General features: G+C 50.2%; 1 protein-coding gene across 13 annotated transcripts in view, besides 2 other annotated features; it reads right to left on the reverse strand.

Moving 5' to 3' along the window:
• Positions 1–793: 793 nt before the first annotated feature.
• Positions 794–14269, reverse strand: part of SLC22A23 (solute carrier family 22 member 23) — a 188078-nt gene continuing 174602 nt past the window's right edge. For 12 of the 13 annotated variants that reach the window (NR_168069.1, NM_015482.2, XM_011514801.3 and 9 more), the window contains one exon: positions 794–5233. Coding sequence is in view for 11 of the 13 variants with exons in the window: in NM_015482.2 (NP_056297.1) it covers positions 4876–5233 (358 nt within the window). In the remaining 2 variants the exon portion in view is untranslated. The remainder of the gene's footprint in view (positions 5234–14269) is intronic. The other variant, NR_104448.2, reaches the window with a different exon arrangement.
• Positions 11442–11501: an enhancer, noted in NCBI's record as "active region_23888". NCBI's record gives its function as "activates an Ori minimal core promoter by ATAC-STARR-seq in GM12878 lymphoblastoid cells {active_cell/tissue: GM12878}" and the evidence as "EXISTENCE:reporter gene assay evidence [ECO:0000049][PMID:35858748]".
• Positions 13916–14210: a silencer, noted in NCBI's record as "tiled region #5686; K562 Repressive DNase matched - State 14:Gen5'". NCBI's record gives its function as "represses a minimal TATA promoter and a strong SV40 promoter by Sharpr-MPRA in K562 cells {active_cell/tissue: K562}" and the evidence as "EXISTENCE:reporter gene assay evidence [ECO:0000049][PMID:27701403]".

Here is a 14269-nt window from a genome sequence, read left to right on the forward strand (position 1 = left end):
CTTTTTTGCTGTGTTCTCTCTTGGGCCTACATTTGAGCACCTCCCTACACTGCCCCATTACTGCATTTGCGGTCTTGTGAAGTCTGACTTCTCTAGGCTTTGTCTCCTCATCTATAAAGTTGGAGTAATCCCCACCTTGGTGGGTTCTTTTTAGGATTAAGCACGTAGGTAGAAATGCTTTGCAAACTATAAGTGCCGTGGCACTTAGATGTCAATTATAGTTTGATTTCCTTCCTTTTTATGGATTCAGAGGCTTCAGGTCCTTCTTTCTCTTCCTGTTATTTCATCGTCTTCCCTTCTCCCCTCTCTTCTATCCCAAATCCAGAGTACCTCAGGTACCTGCTTTGGTCATTTGTACTCTTTAGCGTTTAATCTTTAATCCCACCACTTGGAGTGGGTTCCAGTCTTGGGCCTTCTCCAGAGGTTCAGATGGTCTGGGGCCCAGGCTTTGGCAGGATTGAAAGCTCCCCTGGTGCCTCCGTGCAGGCAAGGTTGAGGACCACTGGCAAAGAACTTTCTAATCTTTGGGGTCCGTCTGAACCCTTTTTGTTCATCCAGAGGCAAAAGTCTTGCACTGAGCCAGCAGCAGGCAAGTGAAGGTAGTGACCCTGGCCAGGATGGAAAGGCACGTCGGAGGAGTGAGTCTGTAGTTCCGGGTGCTTCCCTCCTTTGCAGACTTCCCGTGCTAACCTCGAGGCCCCGGCCAGCCTCGTCGCAGCTTGCAAAGCTGAGTGGACACCTCTCTAGAAATATAATAGCGAGTGACACAAAATCAGGGCTATGGAGAGAAGAGTTTGGTATAAATACTTTATTAAAGAAATATTGTCATTTTCGTTAAAAAATACATTAGAGAAGAGAGTTTTGGGTTACCAGTCTTTCCTCACAGAATCACAGTGTAAGATATTCATTTCTTGACGTCTCTAGGAACCTTCAGGCCACGGATCAGCAGAACATACACGAACAAGGGAAAAAAATTCCTCTTAATTTTACTGATGGCCCCCGTCTCTCAGGTGGTCTGAGAGTGGCACTTGGTAAACAGTGTGTGTTTAATCCAGCCTCTGCCTCTGACTACCTTTAAGACCAGGACTCGAAGCAGAGTGAGAGGCCTCCCTCCACCCACCTCGGGGCGAGTGAAGACACAGCTTACAGAGGCGTTCAAAGTAGTGACGCAGTGAGGTCTGAATGAACACGGAGGATTTTATTACTCACCATTAATGGTAGTGAAATGCCCTTCGGTGGATACCATCAGGTGAGGTAGGGAAGACATTCCAGAGGAAATCTGTTAATGGGGCAACGTTTTTATTTCTGTACATTTACATACAAATTTTCCCCAAAGGTACAACAGATGCGACACCATGCAGACACGCAGCTGTGAACGACAGTTCAGAACTCAGCGTAAGCTTGTGCTATGAACGAGCACCGTCAGAGAATTCCCACCCACACGTACAGAAACACAGTTTTTATATTACAACCTCAAGGACAGGGAGGGAAGTGTTCGCCGCTAGACATGACACACCATACTGCTTTTCCAAAACACACGGGACATGAAAGCGAGGTGGTGCCTTCTAGACGAGAGGACAGCTGTAGTGTGGACCTCCCCCGCACATGCGATACCTCGGGCCGGGCGGTGTGACCTCACAGGCCCACTTATGGCACTTGCAGTTTGGGATTGCTCATTTGGCTCTAGGAAGCGGTGGTGTCTGAGTGTGATACTTCCCTTACGAGGTTTGTTTTTGTTTTCTTTCTGTTCTGTAGCCAAACCAATTTACCAGCCCGTCTTCCAGATGCAGGTGATCTTACTCTCAGTAAACAAAAACATGTAACCTTTTTCCTGTTTCTCTTGGGTGGTAATAATTTTAGGGCATTTGATAAGAGTTTGACTTCAGAAAAAGAACAAAGTGAAGAAATGTTCAGCTCCATCTCAGGTGTTCACATTTGTGCATAACTTTTATTGAAAGGCTGACAGGGTAGGCTAGCGGAACGGAGGGGTGTGTGGAGGAGAGTAGCAGGGGGTGGGAGGGTCAAGTTGAAACAGTGGGTGCCTGCGAAGGGTCTCCCTATTAGCCAGGAAGGGAACAGCACAGAGGGGTTCAAGCGTGACAGACGGTGCTGGGAAGTGGGCAGCCGTAGCAGCCTCCCCTGCTGAGCCCGGCGGGCCCAGATGCGTATCAGGCTTGGGTGGGTCCTGCCACCTTGCTCACTTGGTACCGGATTTCCCGGGGCTGTGCCCACAGGGAAGTGTTGCTGCTCTGGCAACATTTCATAAAGGTGTTGCTCAACAGCTTCAGGTATCCCTAGGCTGAAGCTGCCACCAAACAGGCACCCGGCCTCCTCCTCCTCAGGCTGCCCTGGGAGGAGAGCTGTGGGACCGCCTCGCCGGCTGAGAGCCATTACCTGCCGACCGTCGGCAAGTCAGCCTCACACCCACTGGACTCTGCTCCCAAGAGCCCAGGCTGTTTTCCTCAAAGCTAGCCTCTTTTCCAGTCATCGATGGATTAGTCCTGATGGCTGAAGTGCTGAGCAGTGTCTTCGTTGGACCAGTTTTTTATTGTCATTTGAGGTGGAGATCAGAGATCATGACCAGAAGAGTGTGAGTGCTGTCCCTTGCCACCAACTTCCTAGAGATTTCGGGCAGCACTCTACAGCTTCAATTTCCAAAAAAAAAAAAAAGTTTACACGACCAGTGAGACTGCTCGCAACTTTCATCACTTAGCATATCCTTCCACAACACAGTACAGTAAGTGGACTGCAGGGTGGCCTGGTGCTGAGGGTGATGGGTGCAGACGTACACCTGTCCAGGTGCAGGCTCAGGGGCCTCGCTGGATCCTTCCCACCTTCCCCAACTGCCTACTGGCCTGGCTACTGGATAGGTCCTATTCTGTACATAATGGGGGTTTGTTGACAGGTGGCTTTATAGCAAGTACTCCAAAAAAGGTAAAAGGAATTTCACAAGTTTGGCACGCAAAGGCTGCACAGATCTAAAGAAAGGCCTTTGTAAAGGTGAATGCAAACTAATGTTGAAACATGGAAATGTGACTTTAAAAAAGAGGGAAGGTGAGGAGCTGGACGTGGAGCAAGTGGAGGCAGGGAGAGGCTGGCCAGACAGCCTCCCTTCCTGGGTATCTCAAGATCCCAGGTGTCGGCGTGGTCCAGCCACTGGAAACACGTGGCCAAGAGTCTGCTTGCCCCTTGCTGTGTCTTTACACATCTCCAGGCCCTTACTGATGTGTGGACCGCATGTGGAGGAGACATGAGTGGCGACAGCAAGCAGCAGGCCGGGTGGAAAGCCAGAAGGGGAGAAGGTCAACCCCTTTTCTGCCCTGTGAATTCTAGCAACTGTCGGTTGGAAGTCACTTCATTGTCTCACCCAGGCCCGAGACCACAATTTCCCTGGAAGGACACAGCCCATGGCAAAGACATGCTTCGAGAAGGGATGAGTTGGACAATGCCAGTAAGAAGCCAGGCTGTCCAGAAAAGCTGGTGCCCAAGTTGCTACAAAGTGGTGCCTGCCCTTGCCAAGGAGGCTGTCTCTTAGTCGCCTTGGGTGTCCTACAAGTTTCCTCCGAAAATGCCAAGAGGAAACCTCCACTTTCTGGGGTGAAACGAGGAACACGAAGAGACCCATGGAGGTCGAGGCAGGGGCAGCGTTGAGCTTTGGTGAGTTATTGCTTTCTTTCAATTTGTCTTGATGCCTTCGAGAGGCTGGAGGTCATTTGGACTCACCTATGAGGAATCTCCGCTCCCTGCCCGAAGCCCCACCTCTGTGCTATGCGAGTGACTGCAAGCAGGAAGCTGGCCCAGGAAGGCAGGCGTGAGGGGGCCCAGCTCCTGCGGGTGCTCCCTGGAGTGATGTCTGAGGTGACGGCCATCCAAGCTGGTGATCTTCATGGTGTGTGCTCAAGGTGTGGGTGACGGGCGTGTGTGTGTGGAGGGCAGCCCCCCTTCTGTGGATTTGCCTCTGCCATCTTTTTGAGTTATTTTCTAATGGTTTGTAGCTTAGAAAGTAGCCATGTTTTCAAGTAGTGCCGGCACAAGAGCTGCCTGTGCACGAGGGACTTTTCTGCTGGAGCCAATCTGGGAGAGGAGGAATAAAAACGAGCACATCTCAGGTCTCGACGCATCTGTTAGCTGTGTACTCACAAAGCTGTGGCGATATGACTGCTGCTCAATTAAGATTTCTGGTGAAATGTTTAAGCTTTTTCTCCAAGAGCTTCCAGCATCAAGTACAAAAGGATGATCCTGAAGGAAAGATGAAGCTGGTTTTAACGGCGTCTGTGAGCTGCTTTCCCTGCACACGAACAGAAGCTCTTACCTTACAAACAGAAAGGGAAAAAGGACCTTAAAAAACCATACACAGACTCTAGCAAAAGCCAAATTCATGTACATTTCACTCCGTCTAAAATGCAGTCCCGGAAACGCTCCACGGTCCTCTCCTGCCTCTGCACGCAGGCAGGCAGCCTGGGGGGCTCCTGGGTGCTGCCAGGAGCCGTGTCCCATCTCCCCAGAGGGACCGGCCATGGCCCTGGTCACTGTGGCATCTTCCCAGAGCAACTGCGTCTCGCTGCCCAGGGAGGTGATTCCATTTGTGATCAGTGAGAGGGAGAGGGAATAAAGTGCTTCTCGTAAAAATGACCAAAATAAATACACACATTTAACGGCAGAAAAGAAAGTCTTGAAAGGGTTATTTCCAAAGAGTTTGTCTCCTCCGACCCGCGCTCCTTGGACTTTTGGAAAGACAGGATTTCCCCACACCAGTTGAGAGGCTCAGCTTGGCTGAGGCAGCTTTCCCACCCCTGGCTGCGTGTTCGGTCCCTGGTCTGTAAACCTGTGCCCAAGCTGCCCCAGACCCTGGAGCCCCGGGTTCCGCAGGCCGGGCTACATGGCCTTCATGCCGTTGGCCGTGGCACCCTCGGGCAGTGTGTCACCCGCGGCTGCGGCATCGTGGAGGCCCGAGTAGTCCTTGAGCTCGGCGTTGGTGAGCAGCAGTGGCTGCTCCCCCTTCTTGTGCGGCAGCAGCGGCTGGCGCGTGTAGTGCTCCCCGTTAGAAATGTTCTCAGGCAGGTTCTGGTCCCTGCTCTCGGGCAGCAGGAGGATGCAGATGATGCAGATGAGCGTGCAGCAGGCAAAGATGATGTGGTGCAGGAAGTAGCCTTTCTGGTTGTGCAGCTCGATGATGGGTGCCGTCAGCATGCCGAAGCCCGCGCTGGCCAGCACCAGCCCCAGCCCGCCACACCTGCAGGGGGAGGGAAGCACAGGGATTGCTGCTGTGGGCTAGCGGGCTGGATCCCGGGAAAGCTCGGGGTGGACCAGGAAGCCACCTCTGCAGGGGCCCTGCTGCCCTGGGCACTGCCCAGTATACCCCGACCTCACACGTCCCATGTCACCAGCACCCTGGCTGTGTCTGTACAAGGCCACTCTACGGCAGTGACTGTTTTTCCTCATCAAATCAAAAGCTTTTACTTAATTTATCTTTTTCTTTAATGTTTCCTATTTTTATTGTTTTTTCAGGGCTGGGGACCATGAGAACTTTATTTTGAAAGGCAGCCTTATATAATACTACTGTAAATGGGAAGCTGATATTACTTGCCATAAGTAGTATACAAGGAAAAACAAAAGGGATTGAAATTATGCCATTTCCTGAAGGCCTGGGGGATTACCAAGGGTTAAAGAGGGTACTAAGGACATACCAACACGAACAGAGACTTTCTCTTTGTCATAACTGGAGAGACTGCAAGATACTTTAAAAGAGTAGTTTCCTCACTGTGAGTTGATGGCCCACGTGTCTCCTGAAATTGCTCACATACCACCATTGGAAACGGTCCCATCTCTGAGGATTGTGCCTGAAGGGTCCCCCAAATGAAGCTGTGCACTGACAGAGAGGAACTCACTGCAGCTCTGAGCTCAGGATAACCAAAGTCCAGAAGGCAAGCCATTGATTTCCACTCCCTGCCTTGTACGGGAGCAGCCAAGAGTCCCAGGGATTAGTAGATACGCAAAACTTACAGAACCCCTATCCCTCAAACCTCTCCACTTTGACCTAAAAACACATTACTGGGACAAAGGTGTTCTGTGGCCCCTGAGAAAGCAGTGCTGTACCAGGCTGCAGTGGGACCGTGGCGCTCAGGTGTCAGGCCAGGCTAGAGAGGGCTGCCTGGTCCCCAGTTCTGGGGCCTCATTGAAGGAGGTAGGCAGAGGTGGCCTTGTCTCAAGGAAGAGGGAGTGGAGTTGTGTGCCTCGCTCCACAGCAGCAGGTAGACTGGTCCTTTGGTTTGGGGAAGCTTTCTAATGGGCTGCTCGTTAGGCACCCCCTTGAAGTGAAGAGGGCTGTATCCTTTGAACTGCTGAGGCTGAGTGGGCTGAAAGGGAGGTCCCTGCAACAGGTAGGAGGCAGGTAGATAACTCCAGCTCTTGACTAGTCTGTGGTTCTCTTGGTTGGCACTATAGGTAGCTCCTAACTCACCAAAAGACTGTCCTACAAGGTCACAAGATAAAAGATCAACATACAAAAGTCAATTATATGTCTACGTGCTAGCAACACCCAAAAATGAAAATGCCATTCACAATAACATCCAATGAATAAAATGTTTAGAAATAAATAACAAAGGAATGCAAGACTTGTATGCTGAAAAAGATAAAACATTGCTGAAAATTAAAAGATAAAAATAAATGGAGTGACATTCCATGTTCATGAATTAGAAGACTAAATATTATAAAGATGGTAATTTTTCCCAAATTGATCTATACATTCCACATAATCCCTATCAAAATTCCAGGTGACTTTTTTTTTTTTTCAGAAAACAGCCAATTCTAAAATTTATATGGAAATGCAAAAGACTCAGAGTAGTCAAAAACAATTTTGGAAAAGAACAAAGAAGGCTTGCCTTCCCAGTTTCAAAACTATAAAGCCATACGGCTTAAGGCAGTGTGGTGTTGGTGTATATATCAATAGATCAATGGAACAGAACTGGGAGTTCAGAAACTAACCTTCACATTTATGGTCAACTGACTGTAGATGGAGGCAAATCCAGTGAGGGGGAAGGGATAGTTTTTTCAACAGGTGGTGCTGGGACAACAGGATATTCATGTGCAAAAGAATGATGTTGGACCCTTCACATCATGTAAAAAAATGAACTCAAAATGGATAATAAAATCTAAGTGCTTAACTTAGCTCAAACTATAACGCTTCTAGAAGAAAACAAGAGAAAAGCTTTATGACGTTGGGTTAGGCAAAGATTTCTTACACATAACATCAAAAGTAGGATCCATAAAAGAAAAAGCTGATCAATTGGACTTCATTAGGATTAAAAACTCCTACCCTTCAAAAGATACATGTTTAAGAAAAAAAGACCATAGACTGGGAGAAAATATTCGTGAAGCATATATCAGATAAAGGACTTGTAACTAGAATATATAAAGAACTTTTTTTTGAGAGTCTCACTGTCGCACAGGCTGGAGTGTAGTGGCATGATCTCGGCTCACTGCAAGCTCTGCCTCCCAGGTTCATGTCATTCTCCTGCCTCAGCCTCCTGAGTAGCTGGGACTATAGGCGCGTGCCACCATGCCCAGCTAATTTTTTGTATTTTTAGTAGAGTCGGGGTTTCGCTGTGTTAGCCAGGGTGGTCTTGATCTCCTAACCTCGTGATCCACCCGCCTTGGCCTCCCAAAGTGTTGGGATTACAGGCGTGAGCCACCACGCCACTCTTATAACTCAAAAAGAAGACAGATAATCCAGTAAAAAGATGGGCAGGCCAGACACAGTGGCTCATGCCCAAAGAGGCTTGGGCAAAGGTGACCTGGGCAGGGAGGATGGGAGTCCCAGGGTTCCCAGGTGGCCCTCATAAACCAGATATACACAGGTCTATGCTAATAACCCCAGGAAGATTCACAGATTTGGAGCCTTTTTCTCAGAATGCAATGGAAGAATGGTGATTGTGTGTGTGTGTGTGTGTTGGGGGCTTTTGTCCTGTAACAAAATAAGAGAAGACACTTTGCTCTGCCTTTTCTCCCTCTAATGTAGAAATGACTGCCTCTCTGTTGGTTGCAGTCCACCCATCTGCATCCACCATGGGCACAGGGCTTGGGGGCACAAGGGCAGCCTTGCCAGGCTTGCAGCCCTAGGGGACAAAGACTCGCTGGATTCTTCCCTTTCCCAGCTCCTTCCTGTCCAGCCCATGACCAAGTCCTCAGGGCCTCCACTCCAGGCCGCCTGGGTCTGCGCTCCTCCCTGGCGCATCTTCTGCACCCCCTAGACTTTGTTTCCTCACCATTGCCAAACCGATTTTCCTAGAACACAGAGCTAATCATATCACCTGGCTGCTCAGAGTCCTCCAATGGCTCCCTCCTGCCTGCAAGGTGATGCACAGGTCCTGGGGGCCCCACCTCTTCCTCCTGTCCTCTGCCTTTCAGTCCCAATACTCATGGCACCGGGGTCCCTCAGCTCTGTCTGGTGCTCGCTCTGTGAGGTTGGCCTATGCTGGCTCAGCCGAGCTCCCACAGGCTACCTGGGTAGGGCGCCGTCTGTGCATTTCTCGAGGAAGGAGATGCCTTCTGGTACAGGGTCTTCGTTAATGTTTATTCCATTAGATGATTGTCAAGACTGGGGCATCAGCCATTAGCCTCCAAGCCTTGAGTAAACCCACATAAAAAGAGCCAGCCCAAAGTGAGCTACAGAACAGACTTTTGCTGCCACAAAGGTGCGAGTGCCGTGGCTGGGAGCAGGAGTTCTGGAGCCCATGAGCCTGGGCTAGAATCCTGGCCCCCGCCCACCAGCTTCACTTCCCGAAGCCTCGGTCTGCATCTATAAAACAGGGATGAGAAAAGCTCCAATGTCCAAGTGCAGTGGAGGTTAAAGCACGAATGTGACTAGCATGGGGACAGGAAGATCCGTGGCTTGATTGGTTCCAGGTGGCATCCATTGAGTGCCGGGAAGGGGCCACCCAAGTCTTTCAGGGTCTAGGGGGCAGCTGGGTGTAGGAGGAACCAGAGCTGGAGAGGTTCAAGAACTGGGAGGCGAACAGGATGAGCCTCTCCCATGGGCCTAAAGCCTCCAGGCATGACATGGAGTCCTAAAAGTTGGCAGAGGGGGCTGTGCCACTGGGACCCTTCTCCTCCACCCTGGCCTTCCTCTCGGTGAGGCACCAAGCTCTGCAAACACTGCCTCCTCAAGCTGCTTCACACCCGCCCACCCTCACCCTTCCAGGAACCTCTGCTCCTGCTCCCCGAGCCCTAGGAATCCAGCCTCACCTCCTCCCGCCGCAGTGCACTTGCCAAACACGCATCGCCTCTAGAGCCACTATGTGCGGGCTCCAGGCCACATCCTGGGAATCCCGTCCCAGCCACCCTTCTGAGTCCAGACTGAGCAGGCTCTCTTGGGCACTTCCCCTGCATCCTCAGGACACTTGTGTAGCCCGAAGACACATTCGCATTGCGTGTCTGTGTGTCTCTAATAGACACCAGATGTTTCCAGGGCAGGACCAGGCTCCACTCCGTGTGCTGTCCCCAGCACCTGCCCAGCCACTGAGACCTGGCTGGCACCTGGGCATCTACTCAGTGCTATAGTCGGATTTCTAGACTGGCCCCAGTAATTCCCACCCTTGTGCCTTGAGTGTGCGCTGGCCCTCAAGGTACAAGGTACAAATAACGTACTTTTTAGCAATCAAATTTACGGCCAGGATAGTGAGATGTTCCTTCCACAACAAGGTTCCAAAAGGCAGATTCTAGCAGACTCTTGCTAGCTTTGACGAAGCGAGCTGCCTTGTGACTGTGGTCCCTATGGCCAACGGCCAGCAAGGAGCTGAGGCTGCCAGCCCCACAGCCCGTGAGGAAACAGCCTACCAGTGCCTGACTTGGTTTAGTGGTGGGCCCTACCCACTGATGGTAGCCTCTGAGAGACCTGGAGCAGAGGACCCAGCCAGGCCGTGCCCAGACTCTGGAGCCATGGAAACCATAAGATAGTAGATGCATGCTACTTCAGGCCCCTGTTTTGGAGCGATTGGTTATGCAGCAATAGAAAACCAAGATACTCGGTGAGTGACAGATTCCCCTGCCTTAGCCACGGAGGGAGACTGACAGCCACCTCTCATGCAGGCTGTGACAGGCATCAGCACTTCATATTAGAAAGCCCTTCCCAGGGAGAGGCTGAAAGAGTTGCAGGAATAGCCACACCACTGTGCTTCTGGGCCTGAAGACGATATGGATGAGGAAGAGCAAGAATTTGGGGGATGTCTCCCAGATACTCAAACTCCTCCCAGGCTGAGGGTCCCAGACCACCGTTCAAAGACACTCTGCATCTTTCTGTCACTATTTGTTCATGTGCCTGTCACCTTACTAGTCTCTGAGCCCTTCAAGGGCAAGAATTATTTTCTAGGACATCAACAGGCACGTGCTGTTTGTGCTTAATAAATACCGGATGCTTGCGGATCACACGGGCTTCCTGGATAGGAAGGTCAGCTCACCCAGGTGAATGGGACAGGTTAAATAGAGACAACCACGGAAATGAGCAATAAGACCAAATCCTTCTGTAAGATGAAGACTGAACACCTAAAATAGCCAATTAAGTCTTTCTGGTAGACCTGGCTCTTTCAGGAAGCCACAGGGCATATCAGATGCTAGGGATAATGGACATGATTTTAATGGGGACAGCATTTTCTCGGAAACCTCCCAGGTTTCTGCCTGACCTTCCCGGCACTAAATGTGGACGGCACTGACAAGCAGTGAGAGGACTCCCCTTACTCACACGGGAGTCACATACAGGAGGGCAGAGTACAGACCCCCAGGAGGGGTGGGCAGAGGGCCACTGTTAAAGGGCAAACTGCATGGAACAAAAGCCTTGCATTGTGCCTGGTGAACCACATCATACTGATCTATCTTGTTAACTGTGCCAAATAAAATGAAATATATTTAATTTGCAGATCATTAGAAAAATGTCTATGTATATGTATATACATAATATGCAACAAATGTACACATGCATATATAATATGGAATATATCTTTTTATTTTTTTCTGTGGGAGCAATTCTCTGGTTTTCTATCAAAGATTCCTTGATATGGCCGGGCATGGTGGCTCATGTGCCTGTAATCCCAGCAATTTGGGAGGCCGAGATGGGCAGATCACGAGGTCAGGAGATCGAGACCACTGTGGCCAACATGGTGAAACCCCGTCTCTACTAAAAATACAAAAATTAGTTGGGTGTGGTGGCGCGTGCACGTAATCCCAGCTGCTTGGGAGGCTGAGGCAGGAGAATCACTTGAACCAGGGAGTTGGAGGTTGCAGTGAGCCGAGATCACGCGACTGCACTCCAGCCTGGCAACAGAGCAAGGCTCCGTCTCAAAAAAAAAAAAAAAAAAAAAAAAAAATCCTTGACATCATTCAGTACGATTAGGAAAAATTTTGGCAGAAGTTGGTATGCCATTTTTGGCTTTGTTTTTTTTTCTCTCTTGAAATCTCAGAGAAAGAGATTGTTACATCCTTGGTTTTAAGGTGTTGGGTTCCTTTCCTGCCCCTGAAATGTGGGCTCTGCCAGTGCCTTTTCTGCTTTTCTCTGGGTTGTCACTAGAGGGCAGCATACGCCCGTGTTTAGAAGTCAGAGCTGCTTGATTTACGGACAGAGAACCGAGGGCGCACACTGCCTCCTTGGGCTTTAGGAGCACAAAATTGTAATACCCACGGGATATCTTTATTTTACTAGCAATAGGATCTCAATAAGGTAGGAAAACTGATATGCAGGCCGACTTCTTACTAGAAATGGCAAACTTCATTGAATTAAGGATTCCAGAATCAAATTGCTGTTAGCCATGTGAACGTTACCATCTCACATTGAAACACCCGAGGCGAGGCTCCTGTTCTAGCTCCTCTTTTATATTACTTAATGTGACTTGACTAAATTTCTGTGAAGTTGAGGATAAGCAAATATTTGTACCATTTTTTATAGAAATAAATACAACTGCTGAAGATGCCCAGCGAAGAAGAAGAATATGAACTGTCCTGTGCTGAGCCCAGGCCCTTTGCACATGGCCTCCATTCTCCACCCCCGCCTAACAAGGTGCCTGTAGTCAGTTTTGTTTTAAGACAAGGACACTAAAGCCGGCCGAGGGACCCACCCAAGGCCACACAGGGAGGCGGCCTCAGGATCATGGGCAGCTCCGTCTGGTTCCTTCCCAGGCTCCGGGCCATATCATCAGCACCCTCCCCTCATCCTGCCCCGCTGCTCATCGCTCGCACGCCACAGGCGCTGCCGGCATGGGACGCATGCTGGCTTCCTGTCTGCTACTCAGTACTTGTTTTCAGATGTGACATTTTTAAGACACAACTTTTTTTTTTTTTTTTTTTTTTTGAGATGGAGTCTCGCTCTGTCGCCCAGGCTGGAGTGCAGTGGCGCGATCTCGGCTCACTGTAAGCTCCGCCTCCTGGGTTCACGCCATTCTCCTGCCTCAGCCTCCTGAGTAGCTGGGACTACAGGCGCCCGCCACCACGCCCGGCTAATTTTTTTTGTATTTTTAGTAGAGACGGGGTTTCATCGTGTTAGCCAGATCCTCTCGATCTCCTGACCTCGTGATCTGCCCGCCTCAGCCTCCCAAAGTGCTGGGATTACAGGCGTGAGCCACCGTGCCCGGCCTTTAAGATACAACTTTTTAAAGAAGTTGAACAGACTCTGATACTCCCTTAACCCCAGGTCATCCTGGCCCTCGGTGCCTATTCTTGAGGCAGCATTAGAGCGGAAGACAGATGTCAGGGAGTCGTCAGTCAGGGAGTGTCTCAGGGAGGCCTGTCCGACTTATGATCTAGAAAGGGCCAGGGCTGCCGGAGTGGGCAGGGCAGGAGAAAACAGGCGGGTGTCATGATCACCAGCGCCTGCCTCCTCTCTCACCTGGACCCCTCCGTGAGGGCAAAGGAAGCCTCGGAGCCCACCTGGAGCATCCAGATGGACAGTGGATAGAAAAGATCCGCCCCAGCACAGCCAGCAGCTGCTTCCAGATCCGCCCAGGACCCCAGGCCACTTCTGCCCATGTCAAGCTGGGAGATGGGCACAGTCAGATAGACTTGCAAAGTCACCCAACTCCCAATGTCTTACAGATGAATCAGAGCTGTGCACTGGCTGATGAGAACCACCACCTGGCCTGGGCCTGAGCGGGTAGCTGGTTCTGTCAACGCGAGGTCTGAACAGAATCTCATGAAACAATATTTAGTTAACTTGGCCTCTATCATCCTTGGGGCAATAGATTTCTGCAGGCCTTTGTTGCTTTTTGTGGTGGAACAAGTATGAAAAGTATAAAAGCATTTTTTGAACTTTTTGCAGAAAATTTCATATCCTAATATTTGCTTCCAGGCAGTCCATCCTGGCCCCTTACCCTTTGCTGCCAGAAGGCTTGTCTGTAATAGTGTCACAGGGAAAGGCTAGTTCTGTGCTAAGAAAGATGGAGCTCACGGGCCCCAGGCTGCCCATCGTGGCTTATCTTGGAATTTTCTCTGTGAAGTGGGGGGATGGTAGGGGAGTCTACTTCCATCCTAGGGCCTCCGTGGGAATTGTTCCTCAGTCATTTGCAAGAAAGAGCTGTGGCCTCCCGATGGCACGGGTGAAAAGGGCTCCCAGCGAGAAGAGGGATTTGTCAGGAACGCTAGACATTCTCCCAGCCTGGCCCAGGGACCCCCTTTGGACTTAATTTCCTTTCATCCTCTGCAGGCACAAAAGCATCACCAAGGGTCACATATTTTTTCCAGTTTGTCATCTTGGCAAGCTGAATCTGAGAACATGTTTGTTGAATTTCTATCCTCAAATCTTTCCAGGTTTGCGTCAAAGAGGAAAAGCTTACAGCATTTCCTTCCGTCTAGCTTGCTAAGCCAAATCTAACAGAGAATAATGATGCCTACCAACTGCCAGAGTTAAGGGGTACCCGCTAGCCACCCCCTCCCCCAACAAAATATGCATAATCATGCAAAGGCTGCAGGAGGCCAGCTGGAAACCCAGAAGGTCTGACTGTGGATTCTGGTCTATTGAAAGACTTGGCTTTGCTGTTTTGTTTGATAAAGGAGAGAAATTTCACTTTCCGTCCTTTAGACAGGGAGTGAGCCTGCGGTCGGCCTGAGGTATCCTGCAACTGCAAGCACTAAATAAGCTCCTGACTCATCTCTCCCCTGTGGCTGATGCAGAAGGTAGGGACAGGATGAGTTCCTTGTGCTTAATCATACAATGCCTTGGCATTTCTGTCCAGGTGCCCAGTAGCTGTCAGGCTGGGCCTGTAGGATACGATCCAAGAGAATGAATCAAAAA

The sequence above is a fragment of the Homo sapiens genome, chromosome 6, assembly GCF_000001405.40.
Source record: "Homo sapiens chromosome 6, GRCh38.p14 Primary Assembly".
NCBI classification, from domain to species: domain Eukaryota; kingdom Metazoa; phylum Chordata; class Mammalia; order Primates; family Hominidae; genus Homo; species Homo sapiens.